The following is a 23,366-nucleotide window of genomic DNA, read 5'->3' on the forward strand; positions in this document are numbered from 1 at the left end:
TGAGTTCTAGTTTGATTGTACTGTGGTCTGAGAGACAGTTTGTTATAATTTCTGTTCTTTTACATTTGCTGAGGAGAGCTTTACTTCCAACTATGTGGTCAATTTTGGAATAGGTGTGGTGTGGTGCTGAAAAGAATGTATAGTCTGTTGATTTGGGGTGGAGAGTTCTGTAGATGTCTATTATGTCCACTTAGTGCAGAGTTGAGTTCAATTCCTGGATATCCTTGTTAACTTTCTGTCTCGTTGATCTGTCTAATGTTGACAGTGGGGTGTTAAAGTCTCCCATTATTATTGTGTGGGAGTCTAAGTCTCTTTGTCGGTCACTAAGGACTTGCTTTATGAATCTGGGTGCTCCTGTATTGGGTGCATATATATTTAGGATAATTAGCTCTTCTTGTTGAATTGATCCCTTTACCATTATGTAATGACCTTCTTTGTCTCTTTTGATCTTTGTTGGTTTAAAGTCTGTTTTATCAGAGACTAGGATTGCAAACCCTGCCTTTTTTTGTTTTCCATTTGCTTGGTAGATCTTCCTCCATCCCTTTATTTGGAGCCTATGTGTGTCTCTGCACGTGAGATGGGTTTCCTGAATACAGCACACTGATGGGTCTTGACCCTATATCCAATTTGCCAGTCTGTGTCCTTTAATTGGAGCATTTAGCCCATTTACATTTAAGGTTAATATTGTTATGTGTGAATTTGGTCCCGTCATTATGATGTTAGCTGGTTATTTTGCTCATTAGTTGATGCAGTTTCTTCCTAGCCTTGATGGTCTTTACATTTTGGCATGTTTTTGCAGTGGCTTGTACTGGTTGTTCCTTTCCGTGTTTAGTGCTTCCTTCAGGAGCTCTTTTAGGGCAGGCCTGGTGGTGACAACATCTCTCAGCATTTGCTTGTCTGTAAAGGATTTTATTTCTCCTTCACTTATGAAGCTTAGTTTGGCTGGATATGAACTTCTGGGTTGAAAATTCTTTTCTTTAAGAATGTTGAATATTGGCCCCCACTCTCTTCTGGCTTGTAGAATTTCTGCCGAGAGATCAACTGTTAGTCTGATGGGCTTCCCTTTGAGGGTAACCCGACGTTTCTTTCTGGCTGCCCTTAACATTTTTTCCTTCCTTTCAACTTTGTTGAATCTGACAATTATGTGTCTTGGAGTTGCTCTTCTTGAGGAGTATCTTTGTGGCATTCTCTGTATTTCCTGAATCTGAATGTTGGCCTGCCTTGCTAGATTGGGGAAGTTCTCCTGGATAATATCCTGCAGAGTGTTTTCCAACTTGGTTCCCTTCTCCCCGTCACTTTCAGGTATACCAATCAGACGTAGATTTGGTCTTTTCACACAGTCCCATATTTCTTGGAGGCTTTGTTCATTTCTTTTTATTCTTTTTTCTCTAAACATCCCTTCCTGCTTCATTTCATTCATTTTGTCTTCCATCACTGATACCCTTTCTTCCAGTTGATTGCATCAGCTCCTGAGGCTTCTGCATTCTTCACTTAGTTCTGGAGCCTTGGCTTTCAGCTCCATCAGGTCCTTTAAGGACTTCTCTGCACTGGTTATTCTAGTTATCCATTCATCTAATTTTTTTTCAAAGTTTTTAACTTCTTTGCCATTGGTTTGAATTTCCTCCTGTAGCTCAGAGTAGTTCGATCATCTGAAGCCTTCTTCTCTCAACTCGTCAAAGTCATTCTCTGTCCAGCTTTGTTCCATTGCTGGTGAGGGCTGCATTCCTTTGGAGGAGGAGAGGTGCTCTGCTTTTTAGAGTTTCCAGTTTTTCTGCTCTGTTTTTTCCTCATCTTTGTGGTTTTATCTACTTTTGGTCTTTGATGATGGTGACGTACAGATGGGTTTTTGGTGTGGATGTCCTTTCTGTTTGTTAGTTTTCCTTCTAACAGACAGGACCCTCAGCTGCAGGTCTGTTGGAGTTTGCTAGGTCCACTCCAGACCCTGTTTGCCTGGGTATCAGCAGCGGTGGCTGCAGAACAGTGGATATTGGTGAACCGCAAATGCTGCTGCCTGATCGTTCCTCTGGAAGTTTTGTCTCAGAGGAGTACCCAGCCGTGTGAGGTGTCAGACTGCGCCTACTGTTGGGTGCCTCCCAGTTAGGCTGCTCGGGGGTCATGGACCCACTTGAGGAGGCAGTCTGCCCATTCTCAGATCTCAAGCTGCGTGCTGGGAGAACCACTACTCTCTTCAAAGCTGTCAGACAGGGACATTTAAGTCTGCAGAGGTTACTGCTGTCTTTTTATTTGTCTGTGCCCTGCCCCCAGAGGTGGAGCCTACAGAGGCAGGCAGGCCTCCTAGAGCTGTGGTGGGCTCCACCCAGTTTGAGCTTCCTGGCTGTTTTGTTTACCTACTGAAGCCTTGGCAATGGCAGGCACCCCTCCCCCAGCCTTGCTGCCACCTTGCAGTTTGATCTCAGACAGCTGTGCTAGCAATCAGAAAGACTCCGTGGGCATAGGACCCTCCAAGCCAGGTGCAGGGTATAATCTCCTGATGTGCCGTTTTTTAAGCCCGTTGGAAAAGCACAGTATTAAGGTTGAAGTGACCCGGTTTTCCAGGTGCTGTCTGTCACCCCTTTCTTTGACTAGGAAAGGGAACTCCCTGACCCCTTGCACTTCCTGAGTGAGGCAATGCCTTGCCCTACTTTGGCTCACACACAGTGCGCTGCACCCACTGTCCTGCACCCACTGTCTGGCACTCCCTAGTGAGATGAACCTGGTACCTCAGATGGAAATGCAGAAATCACCCATTTTCTGTGTCGCTCACGCTGGGAGCTGTAGACCCAAGCTGTTCCTATTTGGCCATCTTGGCTCCACCCCAGGATATACATATCTTCCTTATTTCCCCAAAGCACAAATAAGTTTAGACTGTACATTTAACAAAAGTTAGCAAAGGCTTAAATATAAGAGAAGCACTACACAATGAAATGTGCGATTCCTTTAGAAATAATCACTCAGAGTAAGACAGCTTCTGCTCTCACCTATTGTATTACTACTGTCTGTGAGCAAATATTTGAACAAAAAGCCACACATACCTCCCAAGAGGAAGTACATTCAGGTTTAATAGGAAAAAATCTCTAACTGCAGTGGTTGTTATCAGTGTAACACACACTCAATTATTCTTCCCCTTGCATTCAGGTTAATGCTGCAGATGAGGGAAAGAAAAAGGTTCTGACTTAAGAAGCAGCAAGCAGATGAGAAGCCCAAGTGAAAAACTCTAAGAAGAGTGTTGCCTGTTTGCCTCCCAGGAGAGAAGGCAGACAGAAGGTCCTTGGCAAATACTATGCATTGTGATTAATACAAGAGGAGAGGGAGACATGTTTCCTTCTCTCAAGAGTTTTGAGGCTTCATACCTACTCACGCACTCATTACCACTCATTGATTCCTTGTATCTCATGGTTGGTTCTAGAGCAGACACTGAGAATCTAGAGATGAGTAAAAGAAGTCCCTTTTGAGATTGGGTTTGTTTGTCTCAGCATAATGCTTTCGAGAGTCATCTGAGTTGCCTGTTCTTTTTTTTCTGAGTAGTATTTTACCATATGGATGTTCCACAGTTTGCCTTTCTTTACTTATTCTTGTGCACCTAATTGATTTATCTTGTTTGATTGCATTGGCCAATACCTCCATTATAATGTTGAGCAGTAGTGGAGATGACAAGCATGCTTGCCTTATTCTTGGCAATGCCTCCAATGTTTCCCAGTTAAACAAGTAAGGTTCTGGGTTACAGTAGTATCACTGCTCTGCTTTTCCTCTTCTTAAGATGGAAAGCTCAGATATTTGATTTTAGAACTCTCTTCTTTACTAGCGTAAGTCTGTAAAGCTATAAAATTTCTCTCTGTTTATGTTTGTCCACATTTTTATTTGGAGAGGTGGTAAAAGAAAATATTATTTCAATTATGAAAGCTTTTGTGGGAAAATTGGGGAAAAGACTGGATATTTAAATGTTTGCCAACATGAAAGGTCTTCCACTGAGGCACCCATTTTGAATGAAACACTTTGAGTCCACTATCAACTCAGCTGGTAGCTACTTGCCTTGTCCCCAGCCACTGAGAGGACAAGGCAAAAGAGAACAGCAAGGAATTCCCCTGCATGGGTCCTTTCTGGCTGCCTCACTGTCAGGGCTCTGAAGAGATGGATTGTGAGCACAGCTTCAACAACAAAACCACATTGTGAAAGGTTAAGAGTTTTTAGTACTTATATACCCTGGGGAATGTTTTGTTTTAAAATATTTCCAAATTTATGAGAGGCGTTGTAAATTCAGGACAAAATATGAATTCATGGTATAGATGTTTTAAAATCATTTACACTTGTCAAGTAAGAATTCTAGCTAGATATTTGACACAAATCCCTTGTAAGCAGTCTCATTTTCATGTTTCATGACCCAGGATTACTGGACCATGCTCTGTTCCATTTTTGGAACCCAACATGATTTTGCCCTGATTGCCCCCCAAAAGGATTTCATCTTCCTCCACTTATACAGCCACTTATACAGAATATTTGATCAGGAAAATTGAAGCATATGTAGGTATAGGTAGGATATATTTTCAAATCCAGGAAATTAGAGGCTGGCCCACCCCTTGGAGGGCTGGGAATGCAGAGGTCTTGGAAGCTTGCTGATGCACAGAGCTGGGTGGTTTTGAGGCGCTCATTTGCTGTGACATGCAGGTAGGTCTGCTCATTGTCTCTCTGCTGTTGCTGCCAGAGAATGGTCCTTCTTCCTTGTCCACCATCCAAATCTCATGTGAATGTCTCATCTTGATTTATTCTCACTTGGACCATACAGTGTAAGAGGTGATGAGAAATATCATTCTAGGCTCCTCCGTGATTCAGAAACAACAGATGATGTTGGAGGTCGAAAGACTGAGGGTCGTGATCAATTCCGTATACCACTGGGGCTATATGAGTAGGCAGCAAACTGTTTCTCATAAATGCAGAATTTTGGCAGACTGACAAACTGCATCTTCCACCCAGAAGGGATATTGAGGGCAGTTACACCCCAAGCACGATGTTTCTTGTGATTAGGTACATCTGAAGCTTGTTAGTAATCATATGAACCTGTGATCAATTAAGAAGCGGACCAGTAGTTACCTCCTGCTCTCTGGCCATTCTACCCAATAAATACGAAGTGCAGTAGAAGCTCAGGGGCTGCTTTTGCTCACTAGAAGGAGGAGTGCTATTCTTCTTCCCCAGTTCCCCTTCCTATAAAAGTTTCTTTTGTCTTAAGCTTTCATTTCTACGTTTGTCCCTTCATTCCGTCTTGTGATGATGGTTTCAAGTAGTAACAGTAGTAACTGTCATAGTGACAGTCTCAAGTAATAACCATGGCAGTCAGCCAAAAGTGGCACCTGAACAGGGACAAACAGGGACTATCAGAGACAAAAAGAGACCTGAAGGGACCTGAAGAGGCCTGCAGGGACAAATAGAGATAAGGAGGGATAAATGGAGATAAATAGACAAATAGGGACAAATAGAGATAGGTAGGGAAAGACAGGGACTTGCAAGAACTTGCAGGAACTAACAGGGGCTATAGGGACTGAGAGGGACAGATAGGGATAGATAAAGACTAGCAAAACTTGCTGGGACAGATAGGGAGAGTTGGGTCCTAAAGGGACTTGAATGAGGAAGGTCTGCTGGAACAGAAAAAACCAAAGCCCAGAAAAAATTAAAACCAACCAGACGAATGAGAAACCCTGTTACAAGTCTGCCTGCAGCAACATAAGGTCAGGGCCCTAGAGGTACAAAGAATGGGAAGTTTTTGAATCAGGGTAACATGGGGAAGAATTTGGCTATTTCTTCGCTCTTTTGTTTGGAGTTCGGTACGTACTATCTTTTTGTTATTTCAGGGTTTTAGGGAATTTTTTGCCCCACCTACAGCACCTATCAAAAGTAGTGAACAGGAGAGGGAGAATGGAAATTGGCTTGTACCATCTTCCTTTGTGGCTACAGAAAGGCTAACTTTAGCTTTGGCTTTCTGGGATTGTAAACCTGCATTGGCACCTGTGAGATGTGCAGAGAACTTGGGAGGTTTTCTCGGAGCTTGTCGGGATGTGGGAACTGAGCTTCATTGCTCTGCAGTATTGACTCAGACAATGGCTAATTTGGTAGCTGACAGATCTAAAAGAAGCCAAGGGTCAAGCCCTAATGTGGGAAAGTGTTATAAGTGTAGAAAAATTGGACATTTCAAAAAAGAACACTGCCAGACCTCTGGGCAAAAGGGATCTTGTAACACAGTTCCCCTCTTAACAGAAAAAATGCCAGGACTTGGCCCTCATTGCAATAAAGGGAATCATTGAGTTAATCAATGCCACTCAAAGTTTCATCAAAATGGCAGCCCCCTCTTGGGAAGTGAGAAGGGGGCCTGGACCCTGGCACCTCAAAAAATGAGGGCATTCCCTGTCCAGAGAACAGCTTCATTTCAGGGATTGGTTTCCAGAGGCATATTGATTCCCTCTCCCCAGGAACACCTGGAAGCGCAGGATTAGATGGCCCAGTTAGAGAGCAGGTTACGTTAATTGGAAGAAACAAACTCACTAAGATTCCCATTGGCATTTGTGGACCTTTGCCAACAGGATACATGGGATTAATTTTGGGCAAAAGCTGTCTTAACTTACAGGCCCAGGAGTTGGTAATTGGGATTGTGAAGGAGAAATTCAAGCAGTGGTAACGTCACAAGATCTTTGGGTTTTTGAACCAGGAGAATATATTGCTCAACTGTTGCTTATTCCCTATAAATTGTACCCCTCTCTACATAAGAAGAAGTGAGGAGGTCAGGGATTTGGAAGTGCAACTGGGAGAGAGACTTACCTATCACAACCCGTGGCATCTAATAGACCCACCTATACAGTGCAAATCAAAGGAAAGAAGTTTTATGGGCTTATGGATATAGGAGCTGATGTGTCAGTGTGTCAGTAATATCTAAAAACAATTGGCCCCTATCTCGGTCCCTAAAACTATCTTCTACATCCCTAGTGGGAGTAGGAACAGCTCAAAGTGTTCAACAGAGTGCTGAGATTCTGTCATGTCTCAGACTGGATGGGCGGTTCGTGTTTTGTGTCTCAAGGTTTAAAGGAGTCTTTTGCCCTGCACGTTGAACCCACCGGGGGTGGAGGGCAGGAGAGGGAGGATGAGAATTGGCCTGTACTGCCCTTTTCAGTAGTAGAGACACCTGTACTATCTTCTGAAGCAGAAACAGAGACCCTAATAGTTAGGCAGGAATATCATCACCCCTATTCAGCCTGAAGAAGTTACAGAAGACAGATCTTCATCCCTCTGCAACCCTTAGGATTAAGGGTCCTCTTGTAAAGGGGGAGATATGTCAGAGGCATTCAAACCAGGGCCGTTTCACTTGTTTCTGGGACTTCAACAAGCTGTTCACTCTCATGCTGCTCCTTTTCATGTTTCTAATGTTCACCCTCACACACTGCTCCCTGGGCTGCTCTCTTTGGGTGGTGATGGAATGAGAGACTGGAGAAGGATAAGCCTCGATTTGCTCTCTGTGTGCCTTCTGTTAATCAGAAAGAGCCAGCCTCTCATTATCAATGGAAAGTTTTACCCTGCGGTAATTAACCAAAGAGACAGAAGCTGAGTTACAGGTTGCAGAGCAGACGCTTCAGCAACGGCATGCCTCCCGGCTACAGCCACAAAAACTTTTTGCTTCTGCTTTGCTAGATTTACTAACGTGGGGGCGAGGGTATGCTTGTGTTTTCACAGCAAATGAACAAACCATGTGGGTGCCCTCAAGGTGTGTACAACCATGGAACAGGAGATTGGAGGGAACCATGGATCCCAGCCACAGGCCTGGTTCCCCCAGTGTGAGCCATGAGCCAGTTGAATCTGAATGTGAAGACGAACGAACCACCAACCAGCAATTGAAGGCTGCACATTTTGCAATTGCCTTATTCAATTAATTCAAAAACAAAAAGGGAGAAATGTTGGAGGACAAAAGATTGAGGGTCGTGGTCAATTCAGCATACCACTGGAGGCTATATGAGTAGGCAGCAAACTGTTTCTCAAATGCAGAATGTTGGCAGACCGACAAACTGTGTCTTCCACCCAGAAGGGATACTGAGGGCAGTGACGGCCAAGTGCAATGTTTGTTGTGATTAGGTACATCTGAAGCCTGTTAGTAATAATGTGAACCTGTGTTCAATTAAGCAGCTGACCAATCATTACCTTCTGCTCCCTGGTCATTCTACCCAATAAATACGAAGCGTGGTAGAAGCTCAGGGGCGGCCTTTGCTCACTAGAAGCAGGGAGCCCTTTTCTTCTTCCCCAGTTCCCTTTCCTTTAAAATGGTTTCTTTTGTCTTAAGTTTTCATTTCTATGTTCGTCCCTTCATTCAGTCTTGTAATGACGGTCTCAAGTAGTAACAGTAGTAACTGTCATAGTGACAGTCTCAAGTAATAACCATGGCAGTCAGCCACAAGATGATTTGGCACTGCTGAAGCATTCATAGAGCAGCATTCATCATCTATCTGACCTTTTTGTGGGAAATGTTTCCTAGCCCATTCAAGACACTTATGCTCATTGATGCTGGGTATACCCAGGACAAAGTAGTTTTGATCTTGTATTTTGACTACTTGCTATCTGTCTCCTACAGTTATGGCTGATGAAGAACACTTCCTTATTCACCATTGGATTCCAATATCCTGGAGTGTGTGAAGCACTCGTTAAATATTTTTCACCCATTTGGCAGTGGTACATCCCCCTTGCCCTTGGAGAATGGTAAAACTTGGCTCAAGCTGCATTTCCACAGCACACAGAATCCAAACTCCCTCCTGCAGGGAGCTTTCTGCACTCACTTCCTCATCCTTCCCCTACTTCCTCCTGCGTGTGCCACTGTCCTCTGTCTTACCCCATTTCATGCACTTGCAGTTCATTCACTTGAAGTTCAGTTTTCTGCCTAGTTTCCACCATCATAATAGTGATCAGCATTATGTAAGCTTCAGCAGCTTTCCTAGAGATTTTGAGTTACAGGGGAAGGTACCAAAGACAGCACTGGGCATTTCTATACCAAGCTCACTCTCCTCCCTCTGGCTTGGAAAGAGAAACTGTTTATCCCTCTACACCCAGGAGGAAACAACTCTGGAGTTGCTTAATAAATTGTCATCTTCTCAGGAATGCAGATGACTGATCAATTCCAGGATGTTAGAGAGCCTGACACCCACTGGAGCACTTCCTACTATTGTTTTAACTTTCCAAAAACAAGAAACAGACTGTCCTTTCCCCTTTGCCCTGTGGTGACCAGACATGACCTTCATTTTTGCTTTCTCTTTCCACTCTACAGTCACCAATGAAGGTCTCCTTCTGGCAGCTCTGCCTGGGTCAGATTCTGTTGGTTTTCTCTCCTGGGGCTGTCACTCTGTGGTTGTCAGGTGGCCCAGGATGGGGAATAACTCCCTTCTGTTCCAGTAGGAGGATTAAGACACTTACTTTGAGCTCTGGTCCCAGCTCTGGTCTCTACTCCATCTTTATTAGAAAGTCATATCCTTCTGGTAAAAAGACGGTATTTTGCCTGATTTGATTGAGTTCTTTGTGTGTTCTATGTCCTTCGGAATCCTGCAGGGGAGAAGGGTCTTTGGCACCCTGTCATTTACTAGGAATGTTGGAAATAGGGGAAATGCCTTGAACATTAGGTGTTAGGAATGCCAATTCCCAGGTTCCACTCTACACCTACTTCCTCAGAAAGTTTGTATTTTAACAAGCTTAAATGCATGCTAATGCTAGAGGTTCTTTGAGAATGCAATATTTGCTTCATAGACATATAGAAAAATCAGCTGCCAACATTCAAAAACATTAATAGAATTTTTTCAGCCATGTTAGCCTGAGTACTTTCTTCAGAATGGATTGTCTGCATTTTATCATTTCTCCAATTTCCATGTCAAGGCCCAGGTTTCCAGGTTACTAGACACTAGCGTTTTATACAGAAGTCTAGGTAATAAGATATGGAAACCCACATCCTCTTCTAGGGGAAAAGAGCCAGAGGGGAATGCAGAAAAATAAAGCAGTCAGATGTGTATCCTGAGTTTTGTCTCTCCAGATGTTGGCTCAGGAAATAGATATATTAGATATCAGAGTTCTACCCATCCCTTGAACCTTGGTCTGGGGAGTACTTTCAGAGTAACAGTCTTTCTAATGTGGCTGTGGCCACGTGTAGTTCCTCATTTTGAGGATCTAAACACCTTTACTTTTTGTCTGGTTTTCATCACTCTATGTTGCTTTCCAATATTTTATTCTTTTTAAAAAAATTATACTCTAAGTTCTGGATACGTGTGCAGAACGTACAGGTTTGTTACATAGGTATACACGTGCCATGGTGGTTTGCTACACCCATCAACCCGTCATCTATATTAGGTATTTCTCCTAATGCTGTCCCTCCCTCAGCCCCCCACCCCACAACAGGCCCCGGTGTGTGATGTTCCTCTTCCTGTGTCTATGTGTTCTCATTGTTCAACTCTCACTTATGAGTGAGAACATGCAGTGTTTGGTTTTCTGTTCCTGTGTTAGTTTGCTGAGAATGATGGTTTCCAGCTTCATCCTTGTCCCTGCAAAGGACATGAGCTCATCTTTTTTAATGGCTGCATAGTATTCCATGGTATGTATGTGCCACATTTTCTTTATCCAGTCTACCATTGATGGGCATTTGGGTTGGTTCCAAGTCATTGCTATTGTGAATAGTGCTGCAATAAACATATGTGTGCATGTGTCTTTATAGTAGAATGATATATAACCCTTTGGGTTTATACCCAGTAATGGGATTGCTGGGTCAAATGGTATTTCTGGTTCTAGATCCTTGAGGAATTGCCACACTATCTTCCACAATGGTTGAACTAATTTACACTCCCACTCTTGGGTATACACCCAAGGGATTATATATCATTCTACTATAAAAATGAAAAAGCGTTACTATTTCTACACTTTTACACTGTTGGTGGGCGTATAAATTAGTTTGACCATTGTGGAAGACAGTGTGGCAATTCCTCAAGGATCTAGAACTAGAATTACCATTCGACCCAGCCATCCCATTACTGGGTATATATACCCAAAGGATTATAAATTATTCTACTATAAATGCACATGCACACATATGTTTATTGTGGCACTATTCACAATAGCAAAGACTTGGAACCAACCCAAATGTCCATCAGTGATAGACTGGATTAAGAAAATGTGGCCCCTATACACCATGGAATACTATGCAGCCATAAAAAAGGATGAGTTCATGTCCTTTGTAGGGACATGGATGAAGCTGGAAACCATCATTCTCAGCAAACTATCACCAGGACAGAAAACCAAACACCACATGTTCTCACTCATAGGTGGGAATTGAACAATGAGAACACATGGACACAGGGTGGGGAACATCACACACTGGGGCCTGTTGTGGGGTGGGGGGAAGGGGGAGGGATAGCATTAGGAGAAATACCTAATGTAAATGAGGAGTTGATGGGTGCAGCAAAACAACATGGCACATGTGTACCTATGTATCAAACCTGCATGTTGTGCACATGTACTCTAGATCTTAAAGTATACTAATAAAAAATACATATATTTTTAAAAAGTGTTCCTATTTCTCCACATCCTCTCCAGCATCTGTTGTTTGCTGACTTTTTAATGATGGCCATTCTAAGTATTATGAGATGGTATCTCATTGTGGATTTGATTTGCATTTTTCTAATGAGCAATGATGATGAGTTTTTTCATGTTTTTTGGCGCATAAATGTCTTCTTTTGATAAGTGTCTGTGGATGTTGTTTACCCACTTTTTGATGGGGTTGTTTGTTTTTTTCTTGTAAATTTGTTTATGTTCCTTGTAGATTTGGATATTAGCCGTTTGTCAGATGGATAGATTGCAAAAATTTTCTCCCATTTTGTAGGTTTCCTCTTCACTCTGATGATAGTTTCTTTTGCTGTATAGAAGCTCTTTAGTTTAATTAGACCCCATTTGTCAATTTTAGCTTTTGTTGCCATTGCTTTTGGTGTTTTAGTCATGAAGTCTTTGCCCATGCCTACGTCTTGAATGGTATTGCCTAGGTTTTCTTCTAGGGTTTTTATGGTTTTAGGTTTTATGTTTAAGTCTTTAATCCATCTTGAGTTAATTTTTATATAAGGTGTAAGGAAGGCATCCAGTTTCTGTTTTCTGCATATGGCTAGCCAGTTTTCCCAACACCATTTATTAAATAGGGAATCCTTTTCCCATTGCTTGTTTTTGTCAGGTTTGTCAAAGACCAGATGGTTGTAGTTGGATGGCATTATCTTTGAGGCCTCTGTTCTATTCCATTGGTCTATATATCGGTTTCAGTATCAGTATCATGCTGTTATATTTACTGTAGCCTTGTAGTATAGTTTGAAGTCAGGTAGCATGATGCTCCAGCTTTGTTCTTTTTGCTTAGGATTGTCTTGGCTATATGGGCTCTTTTTTGGTTCCATATGAAATTTAAAGTAGTTTTTTCTAATTCTGTGAATAAAGACAATGGTAGCTTAATGGAGATAGCATTGAATCTATAAATTACTTTAGGCAGTATGGCCATTTTCATGATATTGATTCTTTCTATCCATGAGTGTGGAAAGTTTTTCCATTTGTTTGTGTCCTCTCTTATTTCCTTGAGCAGTGGTTTGTAGTTCTCCTTGAAGAGGTCCTTCACATCCCTTGTAAGTTGTACTCCTAGGTATTTTTTTCTCTCTGTAGCAATTGTGAATAGGAGTTCACTCATTATTTGGCTCTCTGTTTGTCTATTATTGGTGTATAGGAATGCTTGTGATTTTTGCACATTGATTTTGTAACCTGAGACTTTGCTAAAGTTGCTTATCAGCTTAAGGAGATTTTGGGCTGAGAATGGGGTTTTTTAAATATACAATCATGTCATCTGCAAACAGAGACAATTTGACTTCCTCTCTTCCTGTTTTTGAATACTCTTTATTTCTTTCTCTAGCCTGATTGCCCTGGCCAGAACTTCCAATACTATGTTGAATAGGAGTGGTGAGAGAGGGCAGGTTTGTCTTGTGCTGGTTTTCAAAGGGAATGCTTCCAACTTCTGCCTATTCAGTATGATATTGGCAGTGGGTTTGTCATAAGTAGCTCTTATTATTTTGAGATACATTCCATCAGTACCAAGTTTATTGACAGTTTTTAGCATGAAGGGGTATTGAATTCTATCTAAGGCCTTTTCTGCATCTATTGAGATAATCATGTGGTTTTTGTCATTGGTTCTGTTTATGTGATGGATTATGTTTATTGATTTGCACATGTTGAACCAGCCTTGAGTCCCAGGGATGAAGCCGACTTGATGGCGGTGGATAAGCTTTTTGATGTGCTGCTGGATTTGGTTTGCCAGTATTTTATTGAGGATTTTCACATTGATGTTCATCAGGGATATTGGCCTGAAAGTTTCTTTTTTTGTTGTTGTGTCTCTGCCAGGTTTTGGTATTAGGATGATACTGGTCTTATAAAATGAGTTAGGAAGGAGTCCCTCTTTTTCTATTGTTTGGAATAGTTTGAGAAGTAATGGTATCTGCTCTTCTTTTTACCTCTGGTGGAATTCAGCTGTGAATCTGCCTGGTCCTGTGCTATTTTTGGTTGGTAGGCTATTAGTTACTGCCTCAATTTCAGAACTTGTTATTGGTCTATTCAGGGATTCGACTTCTTCCTAGTTTAGTCTTGGAGGGTGTATGTCTCCAGGAATTTATCCATTTCTTCTAGATTTTCTAGTTATTTGCATAGAGATGTTTATAGCATTCTCTGCTGGTAGCTTGTATTTCTGTGGGATCAGTGGGTAATATCCAGTTTATCATTTTTTATTGTGTCTATTTCATTCTTCTCTCTTTTCTCCTTTATTAATTTGGCTAGTGGTATATCTATTTTGTTAATCTTTTTTAAAGAAAAAAAACAGCTCCTGGATTCATTGATTTTTTGAAGGTTTTTTCATGTCTCTACGTCCTTCAGTTCTGGTCTGATCTTATTTCTTGTCTTGTAGCTAGCTTTTGAATTTGCTTGCTTTTGCTTCTCTAGTCCTTTTAATTGTGATATCATGGTGTCAATTTTAGATATTTCCCTTTTTTTCCTGTAGGCATTTAGTGCTATAATTTTTCCTCTAAACACTGCTTTAGCTGTGTCCCAGAGATTCTGATACATTGTGTCTTTGTTCTCATTAGTTTCAAAGAACTTCATTATTTCTACCTTAATTTCGTTATTTACCCAGTAGTCATTCAGGAGCATGTTGTTCACTTTCCACGTTCTCGTGCAATTTTGAGTGAGTTTCTGAATCTTGAGTTCTAATTTGATTGCACTGTGGTCTGAGAAACTGTTACTATTTCCCTTCTTTTGCATTTGCTGAGGAGTGTTTTACTTCCAATTATGTGGTCAGTTTTAGACTAAGTGCAATGTGGTGCTGAGAAGAATGTATATTCTGTTGATTTGGGGTGGAGAGTTCTTTAGATGTCTACTGGGTCTGCTTTGTTCAGAGCTAAGTTCAAGTCCTGAATATTGTTGTTAATTATCTGTCACGTTGATCTGTCTAATATTGACAGTGAGGTGTTAATGCCTACCACTACTATTGTGTGGGAGTCTAAGTCTCTTCATAGGTCTCTAAGAACTTTATGAATTTGGGTGCTCCTGTATTGGGTGCATATATATTTAGGATAGTTAGCTCTTCTTGTTGCATTGATCTCTTTACCATTATATAATGCCCCTCTTTGTCTTTTTTGATCTTTGTTGGTTTAAAGTCTGTTTTTATCAGAGACTAGGATTACAACCCCTGCTTTTTTTCTCTCTCTATTTGCTTGGTAAATATTCCTCCATCCATTTATTTTGAGCCTATGTCTGTCTTTGCACCTAAGATGGGTCTCCTGAATACAGCAGCACACGTTGGGTCTTGACTCTACATCCAATTTGCCAGTCTGTGTCTTTTAATTGGGGGCATTTAGCCCATTTACATTTAAAGTTAATATTGTTATGTGAATTTGATCCTGTCATTATGATGCTAGCTGGCTATTTTGCCCATTAGTTGATGCTGTTTCTTCATAGTGTCAATGGTCTTTACAATTTGTTATGTTTTTGCAGCAGCTGGTACTGGTTGTTTCTTTCCATGTTTCATGCTTCCTTCAGGTGTTCTTGTAAGGCAGGCCTGATGGTGACAAAATCTCTCAGTATTTGCTTGTCTGTAAAGGATTTTATTTCTGTTTCACTTATGAAGCTTAGTTTGGCTGGATATAAAATTCTGGGTTGAAATTTCTTTTATTTCAGAATGTTGAATATTGACAACCCCCAACTCTCTTCTGCCTCGTATGGTTTCTGCAGAGAGATACACTGTTAATCTGATGAGCTTCCCTTTGTGGGTAACCTGATCTTTCTCTCTGGCTGCCCTTAACGTTTTTTTCCTTCATTTCAACTTTGTTGAATCTGACAATTATATGTCTTGGGGTTGCTCTTCTCGAGGAGTATCTTTGTGGTGGTTTCTGAATTTCTTGAATTAGAATGTTGGCCTGTCTTGCTAGGTTGGGGAAGTTCTCCTGGATAATATCCTGGAGAGTGTTTTTCAACTTGGGTCCATTTTCCCCATAACTTTCAGGTACACCAATCAAATGTCTTTTCACATAGTTCCATATTTCTTGGAGGCTTTGTTCCTTCCTTTTCATACTTTTTTTCTCTAATCTTTCCTTCATGCTTTATTTCATTAAGTTGATCTTCAGTCTCTGAAATCCTTTCTTCAGCTTGATCCATTTGGCTATTGATACTTGTGTATACTTCACAAAGTTCTCGTACTGTGTTTTTCAGCTTCATCAGGTCATTTATGTTCTTCTCTAAACTGATTATTCTGGTTAGCAATTTCTCTAACCTTTTTCAAGGTTCTTAGCTTTCTTGCATTGGGTTAGAACATGCTTCTTTAGCTCAGAGGTGTTTGTTATTACCCACCTTCTGAAGCCTACCTCTGTCGATTCTTCAAATTCATTCTCTGTCCAGTTTTGTTCCCTTGCTGGTGAAGAGTTGTGATCCTTTGGAGGAGAAGAGGCATTCTGGTTTTTGGAATTTTCAGCCTTCTTGCACTGGCTTTTCCTCATCTTCGTCAATTTATCTGCCTTTGGTCTTTCATGTTGGTGACCTTCAAATGGGGTACCTGTGTGGACGTCCTTTTTGTTGATGTTGATGCTATTCTTTTCTGTTTGTTAGTTTTCTTTCTAACAGTTAGGTCCCTTTTCTGCAGGTCTGCAGGAGTTTTTTGGAGATCCACCCCAGACCCTGTTTGCTTGGATATCACCAGCCGAGGCTGCAGAATAGCAAAGATTGCTGCCTGTTCCTTCCTCTGGAAGCTTTGTCTTAGAGGGACACCTGCCATGTGCCAGCTGGAGCTCTCCTGTATGAGGTGTTTGTTGACCCCTGCTGGGAGGTTTCTTCCAGTCAGGAGGCACCAGGATCAGGGACCTACTTGAGGAGGCAGTCTGTCCCTTAGCAGAGCTCAAGTGCTGTACTGGGAGATCCACTGCTCTCTTCAAAGCCAGCAGGCAGGAAAGTTTAAGTCTGCTGAAGCTGTGCCCACTGCTGCCCCTTTTCCCAGGTGCTCTGTCCCAGGAAGATGGGAGTTTTATCTATAAGCCCCTGACTGCGGCTGCTGCCTTTCTTTCAGAGATGCCCTGCCCAGAGAGGAGGAATCTAGAGAGGCAGTCTGGGTACAGGGGCTTTGCTGAGCTGCAGTGGGCTTTGCTCAGTTCAAACCTCTTGGGGACTTTGTGTACACCATGAGGAGAAAACCACCTACTCAACCCTCAGCAATGCTGGATACCACCCCTCCCCGCCCACCCCCCAAGCTCAAGCATCTCAGGTTGACTTCAGACTGCTGTGCTGGCAGTGAGAACTTCAAGCCAATGGGTCTTAGCTTGCTGGACTCCATGGGGGTGGGATCTGCTGAGCTAGACCACTTGGCTCCCTGGCTTCAGCCCCCTTTCTAGGGGAGTGAACAGTTCTGTCTTGCTGGCATTCCAGGCACCACGGGCGTATGAAAAAAAATCTCCTGCAGCTAGCTCGGTGTCTGCCCAAGTGGCTGCCCAGTTTTGTGATTGAAACCCAGGGCCCTGGTGATGTAGGCACCCAAGGAAATCTCCTGGTCTGTGGGTTGTGAAGATGGTGGGAAAAGCACAGTATCTGGGCTGGAATGCACCATCCCTCATGGCACAGTCTCTCACGGCTACCCTTGGTTAGGGGAGGGAGTTCCCTGACCCCTTGTGTTTCCTGGGTTAGGCAACACCTCACCCTGCTTCTGCTCATCCTCTGTGGGCTGCACCCACTGTCTAACCAATCCCAATGAGATCAGCCATGTACCTCAGTTGGAAATGCAGAAATCACCTGCCTTCTGTGTTGATCTTGCTGGGAGCTGCAGACTGGATCTGTTTTTATTTGGCCATCTTGAGAAGTTTGAGCAATATTTTATTCTTAATACTTTCTCCAAAACTTATCTCTAGGACATTTAGCCAGTTTCAAGCCTCTGTGTTATTTTGGAACCAGAGTCAGACTCTGAGTTTTGATTTTCTTGACCTATCCTTGGGATATGTTTAGAATGTACAAGATTTGGTTGTGAGATTGTCAAAAGACATCACCTTAGTAGGTGAGATTGAGGGAGTTCCCAGCAAAGTGCAGAGAAATTTCACCCAAGCTCTACATGGCCCACGCTACTAGTTATGTGCTTACCATCCATTTTCCCTTTCCTCCTTACTAACAAAACTACAAAATAGACATCTTTAAGAAGCAGGAAATATGAAACAATACCCATATCAAAGACAATTATCAGAAAGGAAACAGACCTGCACAAATGTCCATCATGTCAGAGAAGCATCTAAAGTAACAGTGATAAATATGAAAAAGAACCCTCATGAAAAGATAATCATAATGCGTTTAAGAATGGAGAGTTTCTGAACAGATTAAAACTGTAAATTTTAAATATATGAAATAAAACTTTATTGGATGAGGTTAACAGCAGATTAGATACAACATTTTAAAAAGAACAGTGTGCCTGAAAACAGATCAAGAGAGATTATCCTAATTTTATCACAGAAATGAAAAGCTTTAGAAAAAAAGGCACAAAACCTTAATAACTTGTGGGATAGTAGGTAACAGCCCCCCAGCCTGCCACACACACACACAGGAGAGAGAGAGAAAGGGAGGGAGAGAGAGTCTGAATGTCTGGGTCCTTCCAGAATTGTTATTGAAATTTAATCCCCATTCAATTGTATTAAAAGGTGGGAATTTAAGGAGATTAGGATCATGAGACTCTGCCCCGTGAATGGGATTAATGCCCTTATAAAAGAGTAAGCATCGGTCCCTTCTGACCTTTTTCTCCTTCTGTCGTATGAGCACATAGCGTTAGCCCCCTCTGGAAGACACAGCAAGGCACTATCTTAGAAGCAAGGAGTAAGCCTTTACCAGGCACAGAATCTGCTGATGCCTTGAGCTTGGATTTCCTAGCCTACAGAATTATGAGAAATAGATTTATATTATTTATAAATTAACCAGTCTGTGGTATTTTGTTATAGCACTACAAACACACACATATCACACACACACATATACACATATACATACACACATGAATGCACACACACATAATTGAAGATCCAGAGGGGAAAAGAGAGAAAATGGGCAGAAAAATATTTTAGAAAATATTAACTGAAAATATCTCATATTTGGTAAAAATTTTCAACCTACTTATTCAAGATTTCAGTAACTTAGGCAGAATAACCTGAGTCACCTAGTTTCACAAGAGTCAAACTATTGTAAGTGAAAGATAGAAAAAGGTAATATCTTAAAAGCCACTGGAAGAAAAAGACACATACATGGGCAAAGAACGATAAAAATGAAGGCTGATTTCTCATTAGAAGCAATGAAGTCAAGAGCAAGTAAACATTTTAAATGCATTCATGTTTGTGTTTGTAGGATACTATTGGTAGAATAATATATCCAGTGAAAATATACTTCAAAATGAAGGTAAGATAAAGACATTAAGATTGAAAAAGAAGGAATTGCTGTGAATACAGTCACACTTCAAGATAAGAATATTTTCCTTCCTTCCTTCCTTCTTTCCTTCCTTCCTTCTTTCTTCTTTCTTTATTTATCTTCTTTCTCTTCTTTCTTCTTTCTTTTTTTCACATTTATTCCCCTTTTGTTAACTGATTTAAAAGGTAACTTTATAAAACAATATGCATATAATTGTATTGTAGAATCTATAACAGAGAAATATAATGTTTACTAATAAAAGTACAGAGAAGGTGATGGCAATAAAGCTATATTGGAGTAAGAAAATGACAAGAGGGGGGAGGAGCTAAGATGGCCAAATAGGAACACTTCCAGTCTACAGCTCCCAGTGTGAGCGATGCAGAAAACGGGTGATTTCTGAATTTCCAACTGAGGTACCGGGTTTATCTCACTGAGGAATGCTGGACAGTGGATGCAGTGCACCATGTGTGAGCCAAAGCAGGGTGAGGCATTGCCTCACCAGGGAAGTGCAAGGGGTGAGGGAATTCCCCTTTCTAGTCAAAGAAAGTGGTGACAGACGGAACCTGGAAAATCGGGTCACTCCCAACCTAATACTGCACTTTTACAACAGGCTTAAAAAACGGCACACCAGGAGATTATATCCCATGCATGGCTCAGAGGATCCTATGCCCGGCTCAGAGGATCCTATGCCCACGGAGTCTCTCTCATTGCTAGACAGCAGTCTGAGATCAAACTGCAAGGCGGCAGCGAGGCTTGGGGAGGGGAGCCTGCCATTGCCAAGGCTTGAGTAGGTAAACAAAGCAGCTGGGAAGCTCGAACTGGGTGGAGCCCACCACAGCTCAGGGAGGCCTGCCTGCCTCTGTAGGCTCCACCTCTGGGGGCAGGGCAAAGAAAAACAAAAGGCGGCAGTAAAGTCTGCAGACTTAAATGTCAGTGTCTGACAGCTTTGAAGAGAGTAGTGGTTCTCCCAGCATGCAGCTTGAGATCTGAGAACGGACAGATTGCCTCCTCAAGTGGGTCCCTGACCATGAGTAGCCTAACTGGGAGGCACCCCCCAGTAGAGGTGGACTGATAACTCACATGGCCGGGTACTCCTCTGAGACAAAACTTCCAGAGGAACGATCAGGCAGCAGCATTTGCGGGTCACCAATATCTGCTGTTTTGCAGCCACCACTGCTGATACCCAGGAAAACAAGGTCTGGTGTGGACCTCCAGCAAACTCCAATAGACCTGCAGCTGAGGGTCCTGACTGTTAGAAGGAAAACTAACAAACAGAAAGGACATCCGCACCAAAAACCCATCTGTATGTCACCATCATCAAAGATAAAAGGTAGATAAAACCATAAAGATGGGGAAAAAGCAGAACAGAAAAACTGGAAACTCTAAAAATCAGAGCACCTCTCCTCCTCCAAAGAAACACAGCTCCTCACCAGCAATGGAACAAAGCTGGATGGAGAATGACTTTGATGAGTTGAGAGAAGGCTTCAGATGATAAAACTACTCCAAGCTAAAGGAGGAAGTTTGAACCCACGGGAAAGAAGCTAAAAACCTTGAAAAAAATTAGACACATGGCTAACTAGAATAACCAATGCAGAGAAGTCCTTAAAAGACCTGATGGAGCTGCAAACCAAGGCACCAGAACTACATGATGAATGCACAAGCCTCAGCAGCCGTTTCAATCAACTGAAAGAAAGGGTATCAGTGATGGAAGATGAAATGAATGAAATGAAGTGAGAACAGAAGTTTAGAGAAAAAAGCATAAAAAGAAATGAACAAAGCCTCCAAGAATTATGGGACTATGTGAAAAGACCAAATCTACGTCTGATTGGTGTACCTGAAAGTGATGGGGAGAATGGAACCAAGTTGGAAAACACTCCACAGGATATTATGCAGGAGAACTTCCCCAAACTAGCAAGGCAGGCCAATACTCAGATTCAGGAAATACAGAGAACGCCACAAAGATATTCCTCGAGAAGAGCAACTCCAAGACACATAATTGTCAGATTCATCAAAGTTGAAATGAAGGAAAAAATGTTAAGGACAGCCAGACAGAAAGGTCGGGTTACCCACAAAGGGAAGCCCATCAGACTAACAGCTGATCTTTCGGCAGAAACTCTACAAGCCAGAAGAGAGTGGGGGACAATATTCAACATTCTTAAAGAAAAGAATTTTCAACCCAGAATTCCATATCCAGCCAAAATAAGCTTCAAAAGTGAAGGAGAAATAAAATACAGACAAGCAAATGCTGAGAGATTTTGTCAACACCAGGCCTGCCCTAAAAGAACTCCTGAAGGAAGCACTAACATGGAAATGAACAACCAGTACCAACCACTGCAAAAACGTGCCAAACTGTAAAGACCATCAAGGCTAGGAAGAAACTGCATCAAGTAACAAGCAAAATAATCAGCTAACATCATAATGATAGGATCAAATTCACACGTAATAATATTAACCTTAAATGTAAATGGGCTAAATGCTCCAATTAAAAGTCACAGACTGGCAAATTGGATATAGAGTCAAGACCCATCAGTGTGCTGTATTCAGGAAACCCATCTCACGTGCAGAGACACACATAGGCTGCAAATAAAGGGATGGAGGAAGATCTACCAAGCAAATGCAAAACAAAAACAGGCAGGGTTTGCAATCCTAGTATCTGATAAAACAGGCTTTAAACCAACAAAGATCAAAAGAATCAAAGAAAGCCATTACATAATGGTAAAGGGATCAATTCAACAAGAAGAACTAATTATCCTAAATATATATGCACCCAATACAGGAGCACCCAGATTCATAAAGCAAGTCCTTAGTGACCTACAAAGAGACTTAGACTCCCACACATTAATAATGGGAGACTTCAACACCCCACTGTCAACATTAGACAGATCAACGAGACAGAAAGTTAACAAGGATATCCACAAATTGAACTCAGCTCTGCACCAAGAGAACCTAATAGACATCTACAGAAATCACCCCAAATCAACAGAATATACATTTTTTTCAGCACCACACCACACCTATTCCAAAATTGACCACATAATTGGAAGTAAAGCACTCCTCAGCAAATGTAAAAGAACAGAAATTATAACAAACTGTCTCTCAGACCACAGTGCAATCAAACTAGAACTCAGGATTAAGAAACTCACTCAAAACTGCTCAAATACATGGAAACTGAACAACCTGCTCCTGAATGACTACTGGGTACATAACGAAATCAAGGCAGAAATAAAGATATTCTTTGAAACCAATGAGAACAAAGACACAACATACCAGAATCTCTGGGACACATTCATAGCAGTGTGTAGGGGGAAATTTATAGCACTAAATGCCCACAAGAGAAAGCAGGAAAGATCTAAAAGTGACACCCTAACATCACAATTAAAAGATCTAGAGAAGCAAGAGCAAACACATTCAAAAGCTAGCAGAAGGCAAGAAATAACTAAGATCAGAGCAGAACTGAAGGAAATAAAGACACAAAAAACCTTCAAAAAATCAATGAATCCAGTGGCTGGTTTTTTGAAAAGATCAACAAAATTGATAGACCGCTAGCAAGACTGATAAAGAAGAAAAGAGACAAGAATCAAATAGATGCAATAAAAAAAGATAAAGGGGATATCACCACCGATCCCACAGAAATACAAACTACCATCAGAGAATACTATAAATACCTCTACGCAAATAAACTAGAAAATATAGAAGAAATAGACAACTTCCTCAACACATACACCCTCCCAAGACTAAACCAGGAAGAAGTTGAATCTCTCAATAGACCAATAACAGGCTCTGAAATTGAGGCAATAATTAATAACTAACCAACGAAAAAACGTCCAGGACCAGATGGATTCATAGCGGAATTCTACCAGAGGTACAAGGAGGAGCTGGTACCATTCCTTCTGAAACTATTCCAATCAATAGAAAAAGAGGGAATCCTCCCTAACTCGTTTTATGAGGCCAGCATCATCCTGATACCAAAGCCTGGCAGAGACACAACAAAAAAAAGAGAATTTTAGACCAATATCCTTGATGAACATTGATGCAAAAATCCTCAATAAAATACTGGCAAACTGAATCCAGCAGCACATCAAAAACCTTCTCCACCATGATCAAGTGGGTTTCATCACTGGGATGCAAGGCTGGTTCAACCTATGAAAATCAGTAAACGTAATCCAGCATATAAACAGAACCAAAGACAAAGCCACATGATTATCTCAATAGATAAAGAAAAGGCCTTTGACAAAATTCAACAACTCTTCATGCTAAAAGCTCTCAATAAATTAGGTATTGATAGGACGTATCTCAAAATAATAAGAGCTATCTATGACAAATCCACAGCCAATATCATACTGAATGGACAAAAACTGGAAGCATTCCCTCTGATAACTTGCTCAAGACAG

General features: G+C 41.6%; 1 annotated feature.

The window, feature by feature from the left end:
• Positions 8,722-8,901: an enhancer, noted in NCBI's record as "active region_26835". NCBI's record gives its function as "activates an Ori minimal core promoter by ATAC-STARR-seq in GM12878 lymphoblastoid cells {active_cell/tissue: GM12878}" and the evidence as "EXISTENCE:reporter gene assay evidence [ECO:0000049][PMID:35858748]".

This window comes from Homo sapiens, chromosome 7 (genome assembly GCF_000001405.40).
Source record: "Homo sapiens chromosome 7, GRCh38.p14 Primary Assembly".
In the NCBI taxonomy this organism is placed as follows: Eukaryota; Metazoa; Chordata; class Mammalia; order Primates; family Hominidae; genus Homo; species Homo sapiens.